The sequence below is a fragment of the Homo sapiens genome, chromosome 13, assembly GCF_000001405.40.
Source record: "Homo sapiens chromosome 13, GRCh38.p14 Primary Assembly".
Classification (NCBI taxonomy): domain Eukaryota; kingdom Metazoa; phylum Chordata; class Mammalia; order Primates; family Hominidae; genus Homo; species Homo sapiens.
In genome coordinates this window covers 27318454-27342619 of record NC_000013.11, presented here as the reverse complement: position 1 = coordinate 27342619, position 24166 = coordinate 27318454, and the positions used below count along the sequence as shown (strand labels likewise).

The 24166-nt window shown below is 44.1% G+C and overlaps 3 annotated features.

Moving 5' to 3' along the window:
• Positions 5861–6552: an enhancer, noted in NCBI's record as "H3K4me1 hESC enhancer chr13:27910205-27910896 (GRCh37/hg19 assembly coordinates)". NCBI's record gives its function as "activates a minimal SCP1, AML or CMV promoter by ChIP-STARR-seq in naive H9 embryonic stem cells {active_cell/tissue: H9 hESC(naive)}" and the evidence as "EXISTENCE:reporter gene assay evidence [ECO:0000049][PMID:30033119]".
• Positions 5861–7566: a biological region, named in NCBI's record as "BRD4-independent group 4 enhancer GRCh37_chr13:27909191-27910390".
• Positions 6367–7566: an enhancer, noted in NCBI's record as "BRD4-independent group 4 enhancer chr13:27909191-27910390 (GRCh37/hg19 assembly coordinates)". NCBI's record gives its function as "activates an origin of replication core promoter dependent on BRD2, P300/CBP, MED14 and CDK7 cofactors, and independent of BRD4, by STARR-seq in HCT116 cells {active_cell/tissue: HCT116}" and the evidence as "EXISTENCE:reporter gene assay evidence [ECO:0000049][PMID:35650434]".

The window sequence follows — 24166 nt, the reverse complement described above, 5'->3', positions numbered from 1 at the left end:
AGTGGCCGGGGCTGCACTCAGGAAAGCCTCCTCCCCACTAAAGTTGAGTCCTGAGAAGGGTCCAGCTCTGAAGACTGGAGGGAGGTCTGCATGTGGGTGGGGAGGAAAGCGCACAAAGAGAGGAAGCATCCGGGGACCCGACCCCTGTGACCAGCTGTGTCCACAGCACATTGTTCCCAGGCCACACCTCTGCATTCTGAACGGCAAATCACAGGGCCATTCATTCATTCATTCACTGTTTAACTAGTATTTATTAAGTGCTTGACATATACTGAGTTCTGTGTTATAAAGACTATCCTGGGATAGAGTTGGGAGAAGAAACAGGCACATAAGACTTAACAGGATCAATACTTTAAGGTAAGTATGAACCAAGTGCCAGGGAAAGGTAGGTGGGGGCAAGAGGCCTCTGGAACCTGTAAATCAAGGGCAGCTTCATGGAAGGGAAATTTGAGCCCAGCTATGAAAGATGAGTTTGAAATAGTCCACAAAGTGTGGTACAGCAAAGAAGAACACAGACTCCAGCATCAAGATACCTGAGATTTTATCCTCAGTCTGTGACCGGGGTCTGGGGTAGGGTGAAGCAAGAAAAGTGTTTAGAGTTCAAGATTTGAAGTGACTCTCAGGGTTGTGCAAGGGCAGACTGAGCAGCTCCTCACATCACGCACCCGGGCGCCTCTGCCCTGGCTCTCTGTACAGCTCCATCAATCACCCCAGCCAGGCACTATCACCTCCCTGGTCTCTGTTTCCTCATATGCTGGGCACTGGGCCAGGGAGGTGATGGGAGGACACCTCTCTCCCCCGCATGTCTTTTCCACTAGCAGACACTAGGGAAGAGTCCCGGAGGTGTGCCCAAAGAGCAGAGGAGCCTCCCTGAAGCTGTGAACTACGCCCCAGGGCCTGGAATAAATATTAGGTTTGTTTTCATTCTCTCTGCCTTTCCTGTTTACTTGTGGCTTTTGATGCCTCTTTCCCCAACTTAGCAGGGGAAGCTGAAGTTATTGCATTGTCATTTTATAGTGGAGGAATTAGATTTCTAATAAGGTTTAAATGGGAAATGAGCTTCTTAAGTATCAGGCTGAGCAGTTCCACATTATAACCGGGGGAAAAGGAGCCTGAAAAAAATCATTAAACTCTGTGCTTCGGTAAAGAAAGATGGACCATGGGAGAAAGGCCATCCACTGACTCAGTCTGCAAAATTACCAGGGTGTGGGGGAGATTCTGGCCCCTCCAGTCAAGTAGAAGAGGAAGTAACTACAGTCATGATGGTGTTTTAGTCAACAGTGGGCCACATATAGGATGCTGGTCCCATAAGATTATCATGGAGCTGAAAAATTCCTGTTGCCTAGTGATTCGTGTTACAGTTCCCTACAGGATTCAGTACAGTAACCTGCCATACAGGATTGTAGCCTAGGAGCAATAGGCCAGACCACATCGCCCAGGTGTGCAGCAGGCTATGCCATCTAGGTTTGTGTACAAGCACTCTGTGATTTGCGCATAATGACTCAATCGCCTAACAATGCGCTTCTCAGAACATATTGCCATCGTTAAGCAATGGATGAGTATACTTGGAGCAATCTTTAGCTGGTGAGCTTTTTTTTTTTTTTTTTTTTTTTTTTGAGATGGAGTCTCGCTCTGTCGCCCAGGCTGGAGTGCAGTGGCGCGATCTCAGCTCACTGCGCTCCGCCTCCCGGGATCATGCCTTTGTCCTGCCTCAGCCTCCCGACTAGCTGGGAATACAGGCGCCCGCCACTACGCCTGGCTAATTTTTTGTATTTTTAGTAGAGACGGGGTTTCACCGCGTTAGCCAGGATGGTCTCAATCTCCCGACCTCGTGATCCGCCTGCCTCGGCCTCCCAAAGTCCTGGAATTACAGGCATGAGCCACCGCGCCCTGCCGCTGTTGAGCATTTTTTGAAGACAGCTGCTCCTGACTCTGCTGAGCTACAGTCCCCTTATTGACTGACTACCGGACACTCCACTTGGATGTTCCCAGAAGCACTCCAAATTCAACTCGCCCTAAACAAAAGGTATCATCCCTTTCAACCCATTCCCCTGCTGCCCCACCCACCACAGACTATGCAGTCTGCTAAAGGAAACCCAGGGGTCATTGGAGTTCTGGACAATTCCCTCGTATGTATTCAGTGCAACGGCAGGTGCCAAAGCACTTCGTTTCCACCACCTTGGGGTGTGAGGATGCCCTCCCCGCTTCTCCATTCTCTCTGCCAGTGCCCAAGTCCAGACCCTCACCACTTCTCACCTGGATCTGACAGGAGCCTCCTAACTCACCTCCTTTTCAGCCCAGCTCTTTTCCAGGCAACCCTCATATTGCTACTTTGGTTTTTCACTTATTAAAAATATTATGAAGTCTATCATCTCTGTATTAGAAAGTCAACACCAGAGTCACCACCACCCAGGATAACAAATAGAACATTGCTTTTTCCTTAGAGCAGTTCATGCAGGAAGGCAGGTGAGACTGGCAGGCAGAAAGCCAATGAGAGACGCCTGTAGGGAGTGAATGAACCTCCAGAGAAACCAGACTGCCCCAAGAAGGATACTTTTTTTTTCCTTTGGGACAGAGTCTCACTCTGTCACCCAGGCTGAAGTGCAGTGGTGAGATCTTGGCTCACTGCAACCTCTGCCTCCCAGGTTCAAGCAATTCTCGTACCTCAGCCTCTGAGTAGCTGGGATTACAGGTGCGCGCCACCATGCCTGGCTAATTTTTGTATTTTTACTAGAGACAGGGTTTCACCATGTTGCCCAGTCTGGTTTCGAACTCCTGGCCTCAAATGATCTGCCTGCCTCGGCCTCCCAAAGTGCTGGGATTACAGGCATGAGCTACTGTGCCCAGCGACTTTTTTTTTTTTCTAGCTGAAGATATCTCCACACTGGTAGAACACTCATGGAGAGGTGATGGGCCAAAAGCTATACATTCATCCTTTAGCCAGTGGGACACACCATCTCCCCAGGACCTGGAGAAGTTGGGGGCCCTGGCCCAAGGGAATGTTGAGAATGGGTGCAGCCCCTGCCACTGGGAGAGGCAGAGCCAGATGAAGACAACTCTATTGCTTGTCTCCTCATTACCATGCACTAAGCACCCACCATGCACCAAACAGAACAGTAGGGGCGCTATGCGGTTGGCCCTTACCTTCACAACAACCCTTTGAGACATATGGAATTCTTCCTATTTCAATCGCATGAGCCCGAGAGGCAGAGGTTACCGTGAGCTGAGATCGCACCACTGCACTCCAGCCTGGGCAACAGAGTGAGACTCTTTCTCAAAAAAAAAAAAAAAAAAAAAAAAAAAAAAAGCATTTAAAAAAATAATAGTCATTCCTATTTCACAGATGAGGAAATCAAGCTGCTTGTCAAAGGTTAACTGACTTGTAAATGGCAGAGCCAGGATAAAAATCCACGTTGTGTTATACTGTACCCTAATGTAATATTAAGTAAAAAATTAAAAAAATTCCAAAGAAAATAAAATTCAGTGTGTTTTAAACACATATGATTTTCTTAATGATTGATGTACTAGCAAACTATGTCTCCAAGCTGGACCCCTTTCTCTAGCCAGGACACCCACAGTGAAGGTGTTGTCTTGCTTATGGCCACTGAATGGCACAGACAGTGGGGAGAGACCCCTGGCGGTTGCTAGAAGTGAGGATTGCACGGGTTTTGGTTTTTTTTTTTTTTTTTTTTTTTTTTTTTTTAGTGACTGAGTCTCGCTTTATCACCCAGGCAGCGGCACAATTTCGGCTCACTGCAACCTCCGCCTCCCAAGTTCAAGCGATTCTCTGGCCTCAGCCTCCCAAGTAGCTGGGATTACAGGCGCCCGCCACCATGCCCAGCTAATTTTTGTATTTTTAGTAGAGACAGGGTTTCTCCGTGTTGGCCAGGCTGGCATTGCACGGGTTTTGGAAAGACCTTACAAAACTCTGCGAATGTAAAGGTGGTGTGGTGTGTGTGTGTGAGGTGTGAGCGTGCTATGTGTATGTGAGGTGTGGTGTGAGAGTATAGGGATGGGTGATGTGAGTTGTGCATAGTGTATGTGTGTATGATGTGTGGTATATGAGTGTGTGGGGTGTGGGGATGTGGAGGGCATGAGGAGTGTGCTGTGTGTGTGGTGTGGGTGTGAGTGTGCATGTGTTGCATGTGTGATATGTGGTATGTGTGTATGTGGTATGGGATGTGGAGGTGTGAGTATATGTGTGACTGTGTGTGTGTGGTGTGTGATGCATGTATGTAAGTGTGTGTGCATGTGGTGTGACGTATGGGGGCTGAGTGTGTGGTGTGTGTGAGTGCATGGTGTGTGTGCACATGTGTGGTTGTATTGTGGTGGGGGTACAGAGTGTAATGTTCTGTGGGGAGTAGATTAGTGGGACCAGAGTGAGTAGGGCATGGCCTTGACTGCTCTTGAGCCTGAGATATCTCCCAACCCAAGGCTCACCTCAAGAACTCCAGGACCAATCATGTGGGCTTAAAGACTTTGAACTGAGGGAGGGCATCTGAGCCGTAGGGAGAAATCAGAAGCCCCTAAAGCAATCCCCCTACTCACAGTTTATTTGAGACACCCAGGGCCTGTAACTACCCACAATATCAATTCTGAGCACCATCAGCATTCGGGGTGCAAGCTGAGGCTCCGTGGGCCCAAGAAGCTGAGCCCATGGGCCTCAGCCAAAAGGAGCCCCCTACGGGGAGCTCCATTCTCTAGGAGAGGGGCAGGGACAGGAGTTCCGCCGCTGCCAGCCACAGGCTGTTTCTCCTGCAGTCGCCACACTCCAGTCACCAAGAAAGACAAATTGGGTCATGGAATGCTTGAAGTGGGACCTTGTGTCAGGTTCCTGGGAAAAAGAGACTGGCCTCGATATAGCAGGATGATCTGTCATCGTTTTCTGAAGGCTAATTATAAGTCTGAAACCAGAGCTTTGCCAATTTTGGAAGCTCCTCAGAGGACAGCAAAAAGCTGACAAAGCCTAGCTTTCCGTTCACTTTGGACAAATGGCCCACCATGCCATGGCCTAGATTCCTGGGCTGTAAAATAAGACTGTCTAATTACTTGCTTAAAACTGGGTCACAATAATATTTTGAAAGGGGCTTGTGGAATGGTGGGATCTCAGACACCTGAAGAGGTCACCAAACTCTAGGTGAGCTCATCCGCATGCAGTCTGTGCAGGCAAAGGGGCTTCTCACCGTGCAGGGTCTGCCAGCGGATTTCAGCTTCTGTTAGGCTCCGTTAATATCCAACAGCTTGTCAGGAAATTCTTCCCACATTGTCTCAATTTCTGCAAGTGGTGTCCCTGGTGCTGTCGCTGGACTCTGTGCTGAGTTATGCTGGGCGCTGCCACTGCCCAGGTAGAGGCCACACCTCCAGGGCAGGAGGGCAGCCTCTCCTCCAGAAAAAAAAGAGGCAATCCCATGACCTCCGACAGGAAAGGAGGACTTGAAGGACGTTGTAGTCACACAGCGGAGGCAACTCTGGCTCAGGGCTGTAATCCTCGGGGCTAGACTTTGAGGGTCTAAACACGCTTCAGGGACTCTTAGGGGGTAGAAGTTACCAAGAGGCAGCCCAGGAGCTCGGCCAGGAGGGGTCCATGGCAGGGACCTCAACACAAACCCGAAGCTGGCTGTAGGAAACCGGGCCATGAATCGCACATCACTAAATGTGCCTTATTGTCCCGAGGGCTCCACTCCAGGCCCCCTAGTCTGAGCGTGCCTTCCGCCCTTCTCTTAGGAGAGCTATTTCGATGGGAACTTTGAGCAGCACTGTATCATAGCATTTCATTTGTGAGAGTATCTTCCACTCTCCCTGTTTATCTTGTTGACTCAAATGTTTCCTTGTCCCTCTCTGATTTCTTTGTCCATTTAGCCAGTATTAACTGAGCACCTGCCATGCGCTCAGTGCTGAGGACCTGTCAGCAGGACACACACGGGCCTGTCCTCATGGCATTGACATGCAGAGATGTGACTTGCAGCCCCGGAGACTGGGCCCTGTGCTCTCCCCACCAAGTGTTTTGCCCTCCTGTGGGGACAGCAGCCGGCTGAGCAGGATGAAACGCCCCTGCCTGGACTGCACCCTGCTGCCCACCACCAGAACTTTCTAAACATATGCATGCTCTCTCACTGTGAGTCCAAACACTGGGGAGCTCCAAGCAAAACAGTCCTGTGCTGGACCTGCCAGGCAATGTCGGGAAGGTACATGGCCCAGGGACCCCAGCATGGTCAGCAACTGTGGATGCTGGGCAGCTGCTGGGCTGGGGATTGGCCTGACTCAGAACAGTCAGAATTAATAAGGGATCGCTTGGCCTGACTCAGAACAGTCAGAATTGATAATTGATTGTCCACTAGGCTGTAGTTAAACTAGCTAGATGCCCTCTTATGCCTTAGCCCTCAACACTGAGTCACAGTTAATTCCCAGACTTGAGTGAAATAACAAATCCTGATGAAACCCTTGGTTCCATGAACAGTGGGTGGGAAGATAAGAGGCTTTAGTCATAATGCACCACCAACTCTTCACCAGGCAGTCTCAGGCCATTGACATGGGTGGGCCATCACCTTCATGCTGTCACTCCAACCCCTGTGCTGATTGTCACCCGGCAGAGGAGGGATGGGAGTTCAACAGACCACATGGGATAAAACAAGGCAATGTCTCAGAGGCAGATCATGGACAGCTTACCCACCCAGGTGCTTCACTTCTCCATTCCTCTCCTTCTTATCCACCTTTAGACCTCACCACCACTGTCTAGTGCATTTTCTAAAAGGGAGGAGGGAAAACATTTATTTTCTATGTCCTATGAAGTGCTCAGAAAAAGATGAAACTCAAAAGTTGCCTAAAATGAGGGCTTGGAATGTTCTCTTCCTGCTGATTACCGAAAGCATTTCCAGAGGAATGGACCTGCAGCCTTTGGCTGCAGCCATTTGCGAGCATACAACCCTGGGTGAACAGACCACTGCCTGGCAGAAGCCTCAGGAACCCCCAGCTCAGGCAACATCATCCGATGAGTGCTGGGCGCATGCCCAGACATATCCCCCAAATCTGTCACATTTGATGTGAGGTAATTATTTACAAGATAAGAAACGATACTTGGGAAGTCAAACTGCCTAAACAGCCATGCTGATTATTTTTCTTTACTCCTAGCTATTTCTTAAAAAAAAAAAAAATTCTCAGACAATTTTAAAATGAATCCACTGCTAAGCCCCAAATAGCTAAGGTTTCGTGGGAACAAGTACATACAGTGTCATAACACTAACAAATGATCGAATTAAACTCTGACCAGCAAGTCTCGGGGCGATAATCCAGGCTCAAGCATCAGAGAGCTTGCCTCTTGACCTGTTGAATCATAACATCTGCTGTGAGTATCTGCTGTTAACTCTGGGGTAAGTCAGCATCACATCAGGTTCTACACCAATCCCATCCATGCCAGGAGAGAAGCAGCTGCTATGGTGCGTAACAGGGCACCGGATGATTATTATTTCAGATGAAATAGACATCTAATATACTGCTTAAACAATTGCATTCCGGCCTGGAAAATCTACCTGCTGATTTCACTGCCAGGCAAGGCGTCCTCAGAGGCAGCTGCCGCTTTCCACAATAGCACTGGTGATTTCATGAAATTGCATCTCCTGATTTTATTCCCACTTAAACTTCACTTGCTCATGCCAGTGACGGTGGAGAGACAATTGTCGCCTCCTACCCCACCTTCAGCTTAGTCATCTCAAGTGATTTACTTGTATATGCGTAATCACCCTCTTCTCAAAATGAAATAAAATAGGAAATCTGGATTCTATTGTTGAAGTGTCTCCTTACTACCTCGCCCTTTCTGGTTTCTTTTCTTTTCAGATGAATGCATTGCTTCTTATTCTTTTCCTCCTACTCAAAAAAGTCCACGCTTGTGTTCCTTTCAGAGTTTCCACTAGAAACCATACTTGTTTTCCAGAGCAACACTTCTCCCATTTTTTTTTTTTTTTTTTGCCCAAATGCCTGAGCATTTGATTAAGCCAGAAGTGGTTCCAGGATTAAAAATGAAAGGTTTCTGGGTTTCAATCAGAGACTAAGTTGTTCACTTTTTTTTTTTTTTTTTTGAGACAGGGTCTCTCTGTCACCCAGGCACGTGCAGTGTCACGGTCATGGCTCACTGCAACCTCTGCCTTGTGGGCTCGGGTGATCCTCTTGCCTCAGCCTCCCCAGTAGCTGGGACCAAAGGTGCATGCCACTATGCCTGGTTAATATTTTTTTAAATTTTTTGTAGAGACAGTGTCTTGCCATGTTGGCCAGGCTAGTCTCGAACTCCTGGCCTCAAGGAATCCTCCCACCTTGGCCTCCCAAAGTGCTGAGATTACAGGTGTGAGCCATTTCACTCGGCCCCTAAATCTTAAGAAAATTCTGAGTTCTTGTTTTAGAGTTACTTGTTTAACTATTTGTGTTGTTTTGTTGCTGCTATAAAGAGTTTTTATAGCAGTTGAAACACAAGTAACTAGAAACAGCTAAGTTTACTAAGCTATTGGAGAGTGGCTTAGTAAAGCAGAGTATAAGTATACCAAAGAGCCAATGACACTAAATAGCCATTAAAAAGTGTGGATGTGAAAGTTGTTAAACATTTTTTTTTTTTTTTTGGACACAGAGTCTTGCTCTGTCGCCCAGGCTGGAGTGCAGTGGTGCAATCTTGGCTCACTGCAAGCTCCGCCTCCCGGGTTTACGCCATTCTCCTGCCTCAGCCTCCCAAGTAGCTGGGACTACAGGCACCCACCACCACGCCCGGCTAATTTTGTTTTTGTGTTTTTAGTAGAGACGGGGTTTCACCATGTTAGCCAGGATGATCTCCATCTCCTGACTTTGTGATATGCCTGCCTCCACCTCCCACTCCCAAAGTGCTGGGATTACAGGCGTGAGCCACCGCGCCCAGCCAACATTTTTAAAAGTCAGATTAGATAACCTGATCTCAGTTTTGTTGATATGTGACTAGATATATATATATGTATGTGTATATATATATATATATATATAAATGTGCTTAAAATGCATAGAAAGGGGACTGGAGAATTGCACATTGAGCAGTCTGTGGGAACAGAAACATTTGTATATCATTGGATCTATTACTAGAAGAATGTATTACTTATGTAATATATGTGTGTATATATGTATACATACATACATGCATATGCATGCAAGAGAGAACAGCAACTTCAAATTGTATAATTGTATTACAGTTCCACAATGCTTATAGGTTATACTTCCACTATTTATATAGTCGTATTATCACTCCTAGAGACTGATAATTGTTATTACCCTTTTTTTTTTCTTTTTTTTTTTTTTTGAGACAGAATCTCACTCTGATGCCCAGGCTGGAGTGCAGTGGCGCGACCTCCACCTCCTGGGTTTGAGCGATTCTCATGCCTCAGCCTCCCGTGTAGCTGGGATTTTAGGCACATGCCACCATACCCCAGTCATTTTTGTATTTTTAGTAGAGATGGGGTTTTACCATGTTGGTCAGCCTCGTCTCGAACTCCTGACTTAAGGTGATCCTCCTGCCTCAGCCTCCCAAAGTGCTGGGATTACAGGCATGAGCCACTGCATCCAGCCTTCTTCTTCTTCTTCTTCCTCTTCTTCTTCTTCTTCCTCTTCCTCCTCCTCTTCCTCTTCTTCTTCATCTTCGTCTTCGTCTTCATCTTCATCTTCTTCTTTTTTTAAACACAGATGGGGTCTCACTATGTCACCCAAGCTGATCTCAAACTTCTGGCATCAAGAGATCCTCCTGTCTCAGCCTCCCAAAGTGCTGGGATTACAGGCATGAGCCACCATGCCCAGCCATTACTACTCTTTAGCTTACAGACTTCTGGGGACTTTGTCTTTCCTTTACTGCAATTGTTCTCAACTTTGGATGCACATTAGAATCACCCAAGAAGTTTCAAATCTCAATGCCTCAGGCCACATCCTGGACCAATTTCATTCAGGATCTCAGTGGGTGAAACTGGCAGCAGCATTGTTTGAAACTCCCTGTGTGATTTCAATGGGTAATCAATGTTGAGAAACACTGCTTTATTCTGTAAACTCAAGAGCAGGATCTATGTCTGGTTGGTCTTTTTGGCTTCAAAGCTCCTAAGTTAGTGATGCATATTAATATATAATATAATGAAGAGATCTAGACTTTCCTATATTCCCAAAGAGACAACCAGGAATTGAGTAACATGTTAGAACTATCAAGAACACGGCACCCAACAGACAGCAGTCACACTCCTACACTCCTGCTGGTGTCTCCAGTGGGCCAATGGACCTCTTGGACATGCATATTTTTTGCAAACACACACACACACACACACACACACACACACACACACACACACACGCTGAGTTCTTCCTCTGTCCCTAAGAATTTGGTGTTGGCTTTCTTGGGTCAGGCGATAACCCAGTAAAGAAAAACAGAAGCCCTCAGCCAGCTGTTCCATTAATTGATGTCAACGAGAAGATCATAAAATTAATCTCTGAATCATCACTGAGCAGAAGGCCACCTGTCAGGAATCCCTCTTCCTCCTCATTCCTGTGTCCCACAGTTGATGACATGATTTTGGAGATAGTTTCAAACTGTAACTGGCCTTTCCTTGGGACTCGTTAAAAAGACCTCATGAAAAGAGAATGCTGAAAAATTGAAGTTCTTCAGATATATAGTCATCCCTCAGTATCCATGGAGGATGGGTTCTAGGACTTCCCTGGGCCACCAAAATCCAAGGATGCTCAAGTCCCTGATAGAAAACAGCATCATATTTGAATATGACTTACACACATCTCCCCAAATACTTTAAATCATCTCTAGATTACTTATATCTAATATAATGTAAATACTATGTAAACTGTTGCTGTACTGTATTTTTTAGGGAACAAATGACAAGAAAAAGAAGTCTATACATGTTCAGCACAGGTGCAATTTTTTTCAAATATTTTTGATCCAGAGCTGGTTGAATGCACAGATATGGAACCCATGGATACCCATGGCCAAGTGTATTCTGAGTTTTTTTGTAAGGATGATGCCAGAGGCTACTTCTTTCCACCTGCACAGCTAATGTTTCTGGCTTCAATGGTCTTATCTAAAACTTGATAGCTTTAAATATTATTGATCCCTGGCCCTACCAAGCTTGTTTTAAAAGGGTCAATGCTGAGGGCACAGGGTCTCTTTTTATCGGGCAGACACTTGGAATTGTCCATGCTTGACATGGCCCTCTGACCAACCCAAGTGGCTATATTAATTGTCTAGCTGTCAATCTCTGGATGACAAGATTTCAAGGGCAGAATGTCTGGCATATGAGTGGATTATAGTTCCATTCAAAATCTGTAATAGATTGATGCTGTAATTTCTAAAATAATCCATGCAACAGTGAATTTACCTCGTTCCTTCTTTAATTGTTATAAGATGCTTAGAATATTGTTCCATTTTCAAATATTCATAGGATGCTGTTGCTGTTGTTTTTCAATCCTGCAGGCCATAGCACCAAAAAAAGATTTTATAAAACTGTATCACTTACTAAACCTCTAAAATGAGTAATCCCATGTATTTTTAAAATCAAGATACTCCCTAATTATTTGGAATAGTATCTGCCTTTTATATCATTTAGGAGTACATGTATTTATGAGCTTACAATTCCAAACACAGAGAAATAATGGTATTAAATTCTAGTATTTTGGAGAAAAAATACATTAAATCAGTTATATTTTATAGATGTGATTTACATATGCAAGTCGATTCTTTCCTCTGTAACAGTATAAAAATTGCAAGCTTTTCATAGAGACAGAAACTGAAATTAAGAAAAAACTGGCCTGCCGCGGTGGCTTACGCCTGTAATCCCAGCACTTTGCAAGGCCAAGTGGGGGCAGATCATCTGAGGTCAGGAGTTCAAGACCAGCCTGACCAACATGGTGAAACCCCATCTCTACTAAAAATACAAAAATTAGCCAGGAGTCCTGGCGGGTGCCTGTAATCCCAGCTACTCAGGAGGCTGAGGCAGGAGAATCTCTTGAACCAGGGAGGCGGAGGTTGCAGTGAGCCAAGATCTTGCCACTGCACTCCAGCCTGGGCAACAGAGCAAGAGTCCGTCTCGAAAGAAAGAAAGAAGGAAAGAAAGAAAGAAAGACAGAAGGAAAGAAAGAAAGAAGGAAAGAAAAAAGAAGGAAAGAAGGAAAGAAAGAAAGACAGACAGAAGGAAAGAAAGAAAGAAGGAAAGAAAAAAGAAGGAAAGAAGGAAAGAAAGAAAGAAGGAAGGAAGGAAAGAAAGAAAGGAAAGAAAGAAAGAAAGAAAGAAAGAAAGAAAGAAAGAGAAAGAAAGAGAGAGAAAGAAAGAAAGGGAAGGAAGGAGGGAAGGAAGGAAAAGAAATTTGGTCCCTTTGGCATGTGTTCTCTTTGGATGGCATTTTCAGAGCCCATTATTACTGGACTGGCGTCTGCTCACCTGCAACACACGTGGCTTTGTTCATGTCAACTCTTGCACAGATTTCTTGCTTTGTTCATTCCTTTGACATTTCATTCATGGTTAGTGTGGTTTCTTTCATAGTAACTGTTTATCGAAGTCTGTGCTAAAACAAAGTTATCTCTCCCCTCTCTAGTTCTCCCAGAGGCTCTGCTTTTCCACTAGCCTCTGTCCGTTTGAGTCCATCCCACTCCTCCCTTCTGTCCATTCACTACTCATCCTTCCTGGCTTCAGAAATCTGGGGAGAGGCTGAATGGGAACCAGCATCAGTGTCCCAGGATAGGAGAAAGCCCTGTGCAGAATGATGGGTTAGGACCACCAACAGCAACACAAATGAGGGCTAGCCCCCTTCACTCTGCAGTCCACGGCATGCTACCTTCCATAGAGACACCACTCAGTAACCACCAGATAGATAAATGAAGGAACAATAAGCCAGTATGAATCGTGACTTGGTCTTCTTGGACATGATCATAGGTGTCTGAAGAGCCCCAATTCTTTACTGGTTTTGAAATTCAGCTCAGGCAGCTCCTCTTCCTGGGACCTTCACCTTCTTCAAGGGAAGCAGAAGGATCTAGGATGCTGAGCGCTAACTCATCCTGGGCTGAACATTGCACATAGGGCACCTGGATTCTTTCTCATCACGACTATCTTCAGAGGGAAGAACTAAGGCTCTGAGAAGTTAAATACTTTTCCGAAAATTATCCAGCAAGTAAGTGGCAGAGCTAGGCGGGATTCAACCCAGATCCATCTGATTCCAAAGTCCAAGGTCACTAAAGGCAGGAATTTATCCAGTGCGTGGCAGACTTTAGCACAAACATTAAATGAAGGTTTTACACAGTCAGCAGCCTGAGAAATAGTTACCAGTGCAGTTTATAAAACTTTGCATTTAACCCCTTTTAATGCTTTTCTTACATACCCAAAAATGAAATTAAATTAAATCAGAGAGTTTTTTATTTGTTCAATATATTACATTCAGTTAGTTTGTTTTTGTTCTTGTTTTGTTTTGTCTTGTTTTTCCCAGACGGAGTCTTGCTCTGTCGCCCAGGCTGGAATGCAGTGGTGCGATCTCGGCTCACTGCAACCTCTGCCTCCCAGGTTGAAGCAATTCTCCTGCCTCAGCCTCCCAAGTAGCTGGGATTACAGGCACCTGCCACCACGCCCGGCTAATTTTTGTATTTTTAGTAGAGACAGGGTTTCACCAGGTTGGCCAGGCTGGTCTTGAACTCCTGACCTTGTGATCCTCCCACCTCGGCTTCCCAAAGTCCTGGGATTACAGGCATGAACCACCGCACCCGGCCTACAGTTTGGTTTTTTAATGCTCAAATTGTTCCTAATTTTAAGTAAGGGGAAAGAAATCAGCATTTACCATCTTCTTAGGAGCTACGGATCCACCCCAGTACATGAAAGAAAGCTACTTTTTACTGAAGAATGTCAGCCAGTAAAGAAAGAAGGAATGATAGAATTAGCAAACCACTATTTTGCAGCCTCCTGTGAAATAACTGATTTAGGCATTAAAAACAATTAAGTTGCAGACATCATGGCACTTCTAAACATTTCAATAATTGTCTTCTAACAATAAGAATATTGTCTTACATAACATGTATTTAAGAAATTCCTCATTGTGACCTAGTATCCAGTTCATGTTTAAATCAATGAAAGTTACGATCACTGGGTGCATGGTTGTGAGGAGGCAGAATCTTTGCTCATTACCAAAGTAATGACTTAATCCTTTCAAGGTAACAATGTATTTCTAAAAAAAAAAAAAAAAAAAAGTCCTAGTGGTCAATAGCTCAAACAAGGGAGCAAACTGAACATCTTCATCAATGCACAGCCTGTTACTGTGTGCCTGCTGGTGTGAGGAAACAGGAAGTGTCTGGTATCACCCATGAAGTGTTTTGTCCATATACGTTTAACCTGCATTTAGCCAAGCCTTTAGACCTAACTTTCAGTGCACGGGAAACACAATAGCTAGAGTATCAAGTTAATGACACTACAAGGAAACAATTAGACATCTGGGATATTCTACAAGACAAACTGGCCAGTTGCTTCAGAAAATCAATATGATAATGGAAAGAAGATCAATGGTTGCCTGGGACAAAGAGCAGAGGGGGAATGATTGCAGAGGGGCATAAATGAGATTTTCAGGGTGATAGAAATCTATATCTTGATTGGTGGGACAGTTACATTAGTGTATACATTTGTCAAAACTTATGAAGAGTACACTTAAAATGACCATTTTATTCTGTTTAAATGATACCTTAACACGGTGGATTTTAAAAATAAAAACAAAATGTTAATGTCACCGACAAAAAAAGTAAGGCAACTGTTTTATTTATTTATTTATTTATTTATTTATTTATTTTTGAGATAGGGTCTTACTCTGTTGCCCAGGCTGCAGTGCAGTGGCACAATCACAGCTCACTGCAGCCTCAACCTCCTGGGCTCAAATAATCCTCCTGCCACAGCCTCTCGAGTAGCTGGAGGCATGCGCCACCATGCCTGCCTAAATTTTTTATATTTTGTCGAGATGGGGTCTCACCATGTTGCCCAGGCTAGTCTTGAATTCCTTGGCTCAAGTGATCCTCCTGCCTCAGCCTCCCAAACTGCTGGGATCACAGGCATGAGCCACCGTGCCGAGCCTCATTACACATTTTAAAAGACTAAAGAGCCATAGTAACCAGTTATAATGGGAGAAACTTGCTTAGATCTGGGCTCAAAAAAAAAAAAAAAAAAGAACAACTAAGAAAAACATTTGGGGGGTAACTGGGGGGATTTAAACATGAACTGGATACTAGGTCACAATGAGGAATTTCTTAAATGTATGTTATGTAGGACTATGTTCTTATTGTTAGAAGACAATTATTGAAATGTTTAGGAGAAAAGTGCCAAGATGTCTGCAACTTAATTTGTTTTTAATTTTCCCTTAAGTTCTGGGATACATGTGCAGGACATGCAGGTTTGTTACATTGGTAAACATGTGCCACGGAGGTTTGCTGCACCTATCAATCCATCATCTAGGTATTAAGCCCCACAGGCATTAGCTATTTATTCTGATGCTGTCCTTCCCCCAACCGCCCAACAGGCCCCAGTGTGTGTTGTTCCCCTCCCTGTGTCCATGTGTTCTCACTGTTCAGCTCCCACTTATAAGTAAGAACATGCAATGTTTGGTTCTCTGTTCCTGCGTAGGTTTGCTGAGGATAATGGCTTCCAGCTCCATCCATGTCCCTGCAGAGGACAGGATCTCACTCCTTTCTATGGCTCCATAGTATTCCATGGTGTATATGTACCACATTTTCTTTTCCAGTCTATCATTGATGGGCGTTTGTGTTGATTCCCTGTCTTTGCTATTGTGAATAGTGCTGCAATGAACATACACGTGCATGTGTCTTCATAATAAAATGATTTCTATTCCTTTGGGTGTATACACAGTAATGAGATTGCTGGGTCAAATGGCATTTCTGCTTCTAGATCTTTGAGGAATCACCATGTTGTCTTCCACATGCGACTTAATTTTTATACCAAAAGACATATAAATATGCAGAAAGATAAAGCAAATACAGTTATGGGATGCATAATGACATTTCATTCAACAATTAGCTGCATATATGACAGTGATCTCAGAAGATTATAATGAAGCAGAAAAAGTCCTACTGCCTAGTATTTTTATTATTTTTAAATTATTATTATTTATGCATTTATTATTATTTTTTATTATTAGAGTGTACTCCTATTTATTTTTTTTAACTGTAAAAACAGCCTCAGGCAGATCCTTTGGGAAGCGTTCCAGAAGGCACTGTTATCACAGGAGATGACAGCCCCACGTGTGTTATTGCCCTGAAGGTCTTCCAGTGGGACAAGACGCGGAGGAAGAAGATGGTGATATTGGTGGTCCTGACCCTGTGGAGACCTAGGCTAATGTGTATGTTTGAGTCTTAGTTTTTAACAAAGAACTTTAAAAGGTAAGGAAGAAATAAAAAATTAAAAAATAGAAAAAATATTACAGGATAAGAATATAAAGAAAGAAAATCTTTTTCAACAACTGTACACTACATTTGTGTTTTAAGCTGAGTGTTATTACAAAAGAGTCAAAGAGTTTTTTAAAAAAACCCGAAAAGTGTATAAAGTAAAAATGTTATGGTAACTTAAGGTTAATTTATTATCAAAGAAAGAAAAAACTTTAAAAAAAAAATTCAGCGTAGCTTAAGTCTACAGGGTTTATAAAGTCTACAGTAGTGTACAGTCATGTCTTAGGCCTTCACATTCACTCATAAATGCCATTGTGTTACAACTGCCTACAGTATCCAGTACAGTAACAAGCTGTGTAGGTGTGTAGTCTAGGAGCCTATCGCTCCTGCACACTTGAGTGCTTAAACTAAAAATAAAATCCTTGCCCTGGGTGTGACTATTGTGTAAATAAAAATAGTTAAAATAAAAATAAAATCCTAAGTGCCACCACCGACATAACAGACTCCCTGTGGCCAAGGGGACCCCAGAAAAATGTTAAAACTGAGTTCCTGGTCATGATGGGATGGGAAGTCAGACACACCTCGCTATACCACCCTCGCTTTTATGATTTAGACACAACAACTGACCAGGATTAGTGTTAAAATAGAGATCACAAGACTGACAGAACAGAATTTGTGGCAGTAAGATGAATTCTAAACAGGACCTAAGGCCATGCGAGGCAAGGGTAAAGTCACACACCCCTACACCTAAGGAATAAACTATGCTCCAGCTGCCCCAAGGTTTTTCTTTTTCTCTAAAAATAAACAAGCACTGGCCTCGAGAAAAGCAGTATTAAAACAATCTGCTCACCCCCAGAGTCTGACTAACTGACCCCCCTTCCACCAGCCATAACTACAGCTTTGACTGGACGAAAGACTAATTTCAGTAACTTTCTCCTGATAAGACCCCTGACCATGGTCTGGTTCTGGCCAGTTTATAGAGGCTGCACACTTGAGTGCTTTTGGGCCCTGAAAACACTTGTTGACATATAGGGTCTAATTTTAGTACATTGAAATGTTAAGGCCCAACCCCAGGGTGAACATGGGTCACATGTTGCATGCGTGTTTATTGAATGCGCATGCGTCAGGACCACCTTCATGATTATTCTTAGCTCCTTCTATAACCTGTAGAATATGTGTGTTTAGCCGAGCCATTCAGTATAAAGCTCCTGCCCCAACCCCTCCTCCTTCAAAGTGCCTGTCCCTGGCTTTTTCCATTTTTCCCAGCCTGCAGGATGGCCATCTTATAGGCTATATTCCTTATAAGGAATAAAGTCTCCTTTTCCAAATGTATAGATTGTGTGGGGTTTTTTTTAAGTTAACCAGCCTATAGCATATAGTCTAGGAGTGTAGTCGGCTTCACCATCTAGGTTTGTTTAAGTACAGTCTATTACATCCACACAGTAACAAAATCGCCTCATGCATTTCTCAGAACATATCCTCATCTTTAAGCGATGCATGGTGATAGAGCATAAAGTTAATAATTATTGAAGGAAGAGGGAGGGCAGGTATTCATTGTACTATTAGTCTTTCAACAGTTCTGTTCTTTTGAAGTTTTCTTTTAAGACTATTTTTAGAACAGTTTTTAAGTTCACAGCAAAATGAAGGTACAAAGATATCCCTTATACCCCCAGGCCCCAGGCATCACAGCCTCCCCGACTATCAACATCCTGAACCAGAGTGGTATATGTATTACAACTGACAAACCTACAATGGCACATCATTATCCCCCAAAGTCCATAGCTGACATCAGGGTTCACTCTTGGTATTGTACATTCTGTGGGTTTGGACAAATGTATACTGACATGTCTTCACATTATAGCATCTTGATTGCTTCAAAGTTTTGGCAATTATAAAGCTGCTATAAGCACACATGGATGGGTTTTTATGTGGACCTAAGTTTTCAACTCTCTTGAGTAAATACCAAGGAACATAATTGCTGGATCATACAGTAAGAGTATGTTTCATTTTGTGAGAAACTGCCAAACTGCCTTCCAAAGTGGCTGTGCCATTTTGCATTCCCACCAGCAAGTGAGAGTTCCTGTTGCTCCACATCCTCACCATCATTTGGTGTTGTCAGTGTTTGGATTTTGGCCATTCCAATAGGTGCATAGTGGGAGGTCATTGTTGTTCTAACATACATTTCCCTGATGACATATGATGTGGAGCATCTTTTCATATGCTTATTTGCCAGCCGTATATATCCTTTGGTGAGGTTTCTGGTGAGGTCTTTGGCTCGTTTTTAATCAAGTTTTTTGTTTTCTTACTGTTGAGTTTTAAGAGTCTCTGTATGTTTTGAATACCAGTCCTTTTATCAGATGTATGTTTTGTTTTGTATGTTTATTCCAAGTTTGTGGTTTGTCTTTTTATTCTCTTGCACTTTTGAAATGTTTAATAATGAAAATGTGGGGCCAGGTGCAGTGGCTCATGCCTGTAATCCCAGCACTTTGGGAGGCCAAGGTGGGCGGGTCACTTGAGGTCAGAGGTTTGAGACCAGCCTGCTCAACATGGTGAAACCCCGTCTCTACTAAAAATATAAAAATTAGCTGGGCGTGGTGGTGCATGCCTGTAATCCAAGCTAATCGGAAGGCTGAGGCAGGAGAATCACTTGAACCCGGGAGGCAGAGGTTGCAGTGAGCCGAGATCGTGCCATTGCACTCCAGCCCAGGTGGCAGAGACTCTGTCCCAGAAAAAAGAAAATGTGGAAACTTGGGAATGCCATTCTTGTGATGATGGCCCCTATGGTTTGGAGTTAGTCTTCAGGAACTCTAGCATCACTTTTGCAGGCGAAGGCACTCTAGCAGAGCCCAAGGGAGCCTTTTCCATAGTACTCTGTGACCTGGAGGACTTGGGGCTCCTCCCAAGATCCTTCACTCCTACTGGGCCACGATGGTGTTGAGAAAAATATGAGTAAATGGTTATGTTGCTCCTTGAGTAAATATCTCAATAAGACTAAAAGAAAAGACAAATTTACTCCTGGAATTTCTTCATTAGAATGGGGAAGACAGAAAAACATATACTAAGAAGGTTTTAGCACTTATTTGACAAAGCTGAATGAAAACATAGGTAATATGTATGTGAAGGTATAAGTTCTTGAAACATCAAAGAAACTGCTGTTATTACTAGGATTCTAAATATGGAAGGAAGGTGAGGGTTCTGTTTAACATGGTGATGGCTGTGATGTTACTTTTGCTAAGGGAGGTGATCCCCATTCAAATTCTTCTCTGTCAGAAGGTCCAGCTCAAATTGCTTCTCTGGCACAGAGTCATCCCAAATTAATTCAACCCATGGGGATCCTTCCATTCCCAGACTCCACTTGTTCTTGTCATCTGTCTCACCCTGTCTGGGTCTTAATCATTGATATGGTTTGGCTTTGTCCCCATCCAAATCTCATCTTGAATTGTAGCTCTCATAATCCCCACGTGTCATGGGAGGACCCAGTGGAAAGTAACTGAATCATGGAGGCAGGTTTTCCCCATGCTGTTCTCATGACAGTGAATAAGTCTCATGAGACCTGACGGTTTTATAAAGGGCAGCTCCCCTGCACACGCTCTCTTGCCTGCTGCTACGTAAGACATGACTTTGCTCCTCCTTTGCCTTCTGCGATGATTGTGAGGCCTCCCCAGCCATGTGGAACTGTGAGTCCATTAAACCTCTTTTTCTTTATAAATTACCCCGTATTGGGTATTTCTTCATAGCAGTACAAAAATGGACTAATACAATCACCTACTAGTTTATTTAAATTGCTTCCATTTTTCCTCTTTTTCCTCCAAAGCCAGGACAGAGTTTGGTTGGTATACCCCACCGAGCCCTGACTCCTGGCTCCCCTGCCTGCTTCTGCCTGCATCCTCCACACAGTAAGTGCTCAAGGCCAGAGGCCATGGCTAAGCACCTCTGTATCCCCAGTCCCCTGCACAGGGCCTAGCCTATAAAGGTTTGACAAGTGAATAATTGCTTTCTTCCTAGCCCTCCTGTGGTTCAGAGCATAAATCAAGACCCAGGGGAGGTTCTCCATTAAAATTTCCTTGTTGCAATGGATCAAGTGAGGTGGCATCAGGAGACTGGAGCGATAAAGTCTCCTGAATTGTCTGTCATGTCAGATAAGGCCCTTTATCTTCTGTGACCTGGTCTGCATGTACACAGTGCAACCTGTTTTCCACTTTCTCATCGGGTGAAGTCACTGAAAAAAAAAAATTAACTAGCAGATTCTCTTTTTTTTTTTACTTCAAAACCATGTTTGATAGATTAGAAATATTTTCCAATAGGCTGGCGCTCAGGGAGGAGAGAGAGCCCATCAAGACATTTCCTGGTAGCGTTTCTACTTACCCTGAAAACCCACATGTGGGTTAGAAATAGTAGGTGCTGCATTTTATCAGGCATAGAGGGTATCCTAGAAGGGAAACAGTTTGTTAGACTCTAGGCTGGCACAGTTCAGCTTCCCTGAAGCATGCTGATCACCACGAGTGCATTGGGGTTTGCAGGCTGGTTGCCATGGTGACCTGAGGGACCACATCCCCATCCCACAGCCCAGCCATGGGGCGCTGGCACCTGGTCCCCACTCCGCACATCAGGCAGGGTTCACAGATCTTGGCTCCCTTCTTTAGACTGTATTCCTCAGAAGAAACCTTGAATACAAAGGCTGCAGCTGCATGTGTGGGTCAGTTACTCACTCAGCAAAAAATGATCAACACAGAAGCACTGAAAATTACTTCTCAAGGACTGTGGAAAGGAAAACATGCTGCGTAGCATTACTTGATAGGCTTGGGAACTTTTTTTTTTTAAATGGAAAATTTATGGAACATGCAGAGCACCTTTTTCTCAGTGCCGTAAAATGTTAATTTTATTCATTCTTGCAAATCACAAAAATTATCTTAAGTCTCCACAAAATGTATTTAAAAGAGATTAAACTAGCTCCTCAATAAGATCTGCACTCGCATTTTCTCTTCTTCCTCACTCCTTCTCCTTCCCGGTCACCTGCCCATGCAAGGTTTACCCATTTACCATGCCAGGCTTGGCTCTCCCGACCCACTGCCTTACATGCTCTTCACTCTTACCACTGAATTCCTCCATCACGAGACTTCTCTTTCTCTTGTCAAGTCTAGCACACATATGCACCCCATCCACAGCCGCCCTCTCCCAGCCTCCTGCTCTCAGCCCTGCACTCCGCACTGAGCACCCTGGGTGCACTTCCACACCAGCATCCTTCCACTTGGCTCATCATTCCCTCCTCCTTGAAACAAGGTCTTCTCCTAGCTTTCTTTCTCCTGATTTTTCTCCTACTTCACTAACCTCTCCTGAGGCAGCTTGTATTGTCCAAAAATGACCACAGCCATATGTATGGTCATATGTATGGTCTCATATGCTCTTACGGAAGTTTACTGCTTCCTATCAAGGATGTAATGATTTCCTCTCCCCTTGAACCTGGTTGGGCTTGTGGCTGCTCTGACCAATAGAGCCTGGCAGAAATAATGCTATGGGTTTTGGAGGCTAGTCATAAAAAAGATATAGTTTCCACCTGGTTCACTCTTCTCTCCCTTTTCTTTCTCTTCTTCCTTCTCTTCCTCCTCCTTTCTCTTCCCCTTTTCCCTCTGCTTACCAGCTCTTAGAATCCAGCCACCATGTTGGGAGGAAGCCCAGGCCACATAGAGAGGCCACATGAAGAGGTTCCAGCAGATGACCCTGGCTAAAGAGTCAGCGAATAGCCAGCATCAACCGCCAGACATGTCAATGGGTCAGTGAGTTCAATGAGTCAATGAACCTTTAGATGATTTCAACTCCCAGCCCTTGAGTCTTCTAGCTGAGGCCCCAGACATCATGGAGCAGAGCAAGTCAGGACCACGAATCCCTATCTAAATTCCTGAACTACAGAATCTGCAGGCATAATTAAAGACTGTTTTATGGCACCACATTCTGGGGAAATTTGGTACACAGCCACACTCAGCATTTCCTTTGCTTCTCATCCTTCCCTACTTGTCATCTAAATATAGGAGTGTCTCAGTTAGGGTTACCAAATAAATTACAGGATGCCCAACTAAACCTGACTTTCACATAAACAACAAAAATTTTTTAGTATAAGCATGTCCCAAATATTGCATGGAACATACTCATTCTAAAAAAATTTATTGTTTATCTGAAGTTCAAATTCAACCGAGTGTCTTCTATTTTTATGTGGTAACGCAAGCAACTCTAACTTCCACTCTAGACTTTTTTATCTACACTCAATCCTTGGGTGAGCTTATCCAGTCTATATCTTGGGTGAGATCATCCAATCTATATCTTGATAACTCTCAAATTTGTATCTCCAACCTGGAAATCTGCACTAACCTCCACACGGAACATCTAACTACCTACTTGATAATTCTTTTATAGTTCACAGTCATCTCAAACCTAAACAGAGTTGTTGATTTGCAAACCACCTCCCACTGCCCACCTAATCTGCAGCTCCTCAGTCACTCCCACCTCAGTGAAGCACACTAATATCTACCTAGTTGCTTAAGCCCCTAAGGTAAGACTCAGTCTTGATTCTTCCCTTTTGTGGACTCTGTATCCAGTAAATCAACAAATCCTATTGACTCAACTACCAGGTCATATTTCCAACTGGGTCATGTCTCTGTATGTCTACTACAACTTCCCTAGGACAAGCCATACTCTTCTCTCACTAGAGTAACTGTACTGACCACCAAGTAGCTTTTCTACTTCCTTCTTGCTTCCCAATAACTCTCTATAATGCATTCTGCACACAGAAGCCAGAATGGTCTTTTTAAAGACAGATCTGGTGGCTCATGCCTGCAATCCTAGCACTTTGAGAGGCTGACGCAGGAGGGTCGCTTGAGCTCAGGAGTTCAAGACCAGCCTGGGCAACATAGCAAGACCTCATCTCTACAAAAAAATTTTTAAAAACCTAGCTGGGTGTGGTGGCGGCACACACCTATAGTCCCAGCTACTTGGGAGACTAAGGTGGGAAGGTTGCTTGAGCCTGGGAGAACAAAGCTGCAATGAGCTGTGATAGCACCACTGCACTCCAGCCTGGGTGGCAGAGCCAAACCTTATCTCAAAAATAAAAATAAAAATAAAGAAAGACAGATCATGTCTTTGACTTGCTTGCTAAGAACTCTCATTGCACTGAAAATAAAACGCAATATCCTTCTACGGCTTTCAAGACTCTTCATGATCAATTTCTTGTACCACTGTTTCAACAGTTCACTAACTGCCTGTGATCCCAGCATTTTGGAAGGCCAAGGCAGGCAGATCACTTGAGCCCAGGAGTTTGAGACCAGCCTGGGCAACATGGTGAAACCCCACCTCTAAAAAAAAAATACAGGAATTAGTTGAGTGTGGTAGCACACACCTGTAGTCCCAGCTACTCAGGAGGCTAAGGTGGGAGGATGGCTTGAGCTTGGGAGGCAGAGATTGTAGTGAGCTGAGATCATGCCACTGCACTCCAGCCTGGGCGACAGAGTGAGACTCTGCCTCAAAAAAAAAAAAAAAAAAGAAACTTCCATCAGTAGTTCTTCCAGTGAGGTTTTGTGAGGGGTGACCTCTCTTGGTGTCTACGTCTAAAGATGTTTTTATTACACCTTATACCTTGGGTAGAATTCACAGGTAAGGAATTCTGGTTTGTGGTTATTTTCTCTCAGCAGTTTGAAGATACCATTTAGGTCACTGAAGGCATCTATTATTGCAGGTAAGTCTGCTGTAAGTTGAAGTATTATTGGTTTT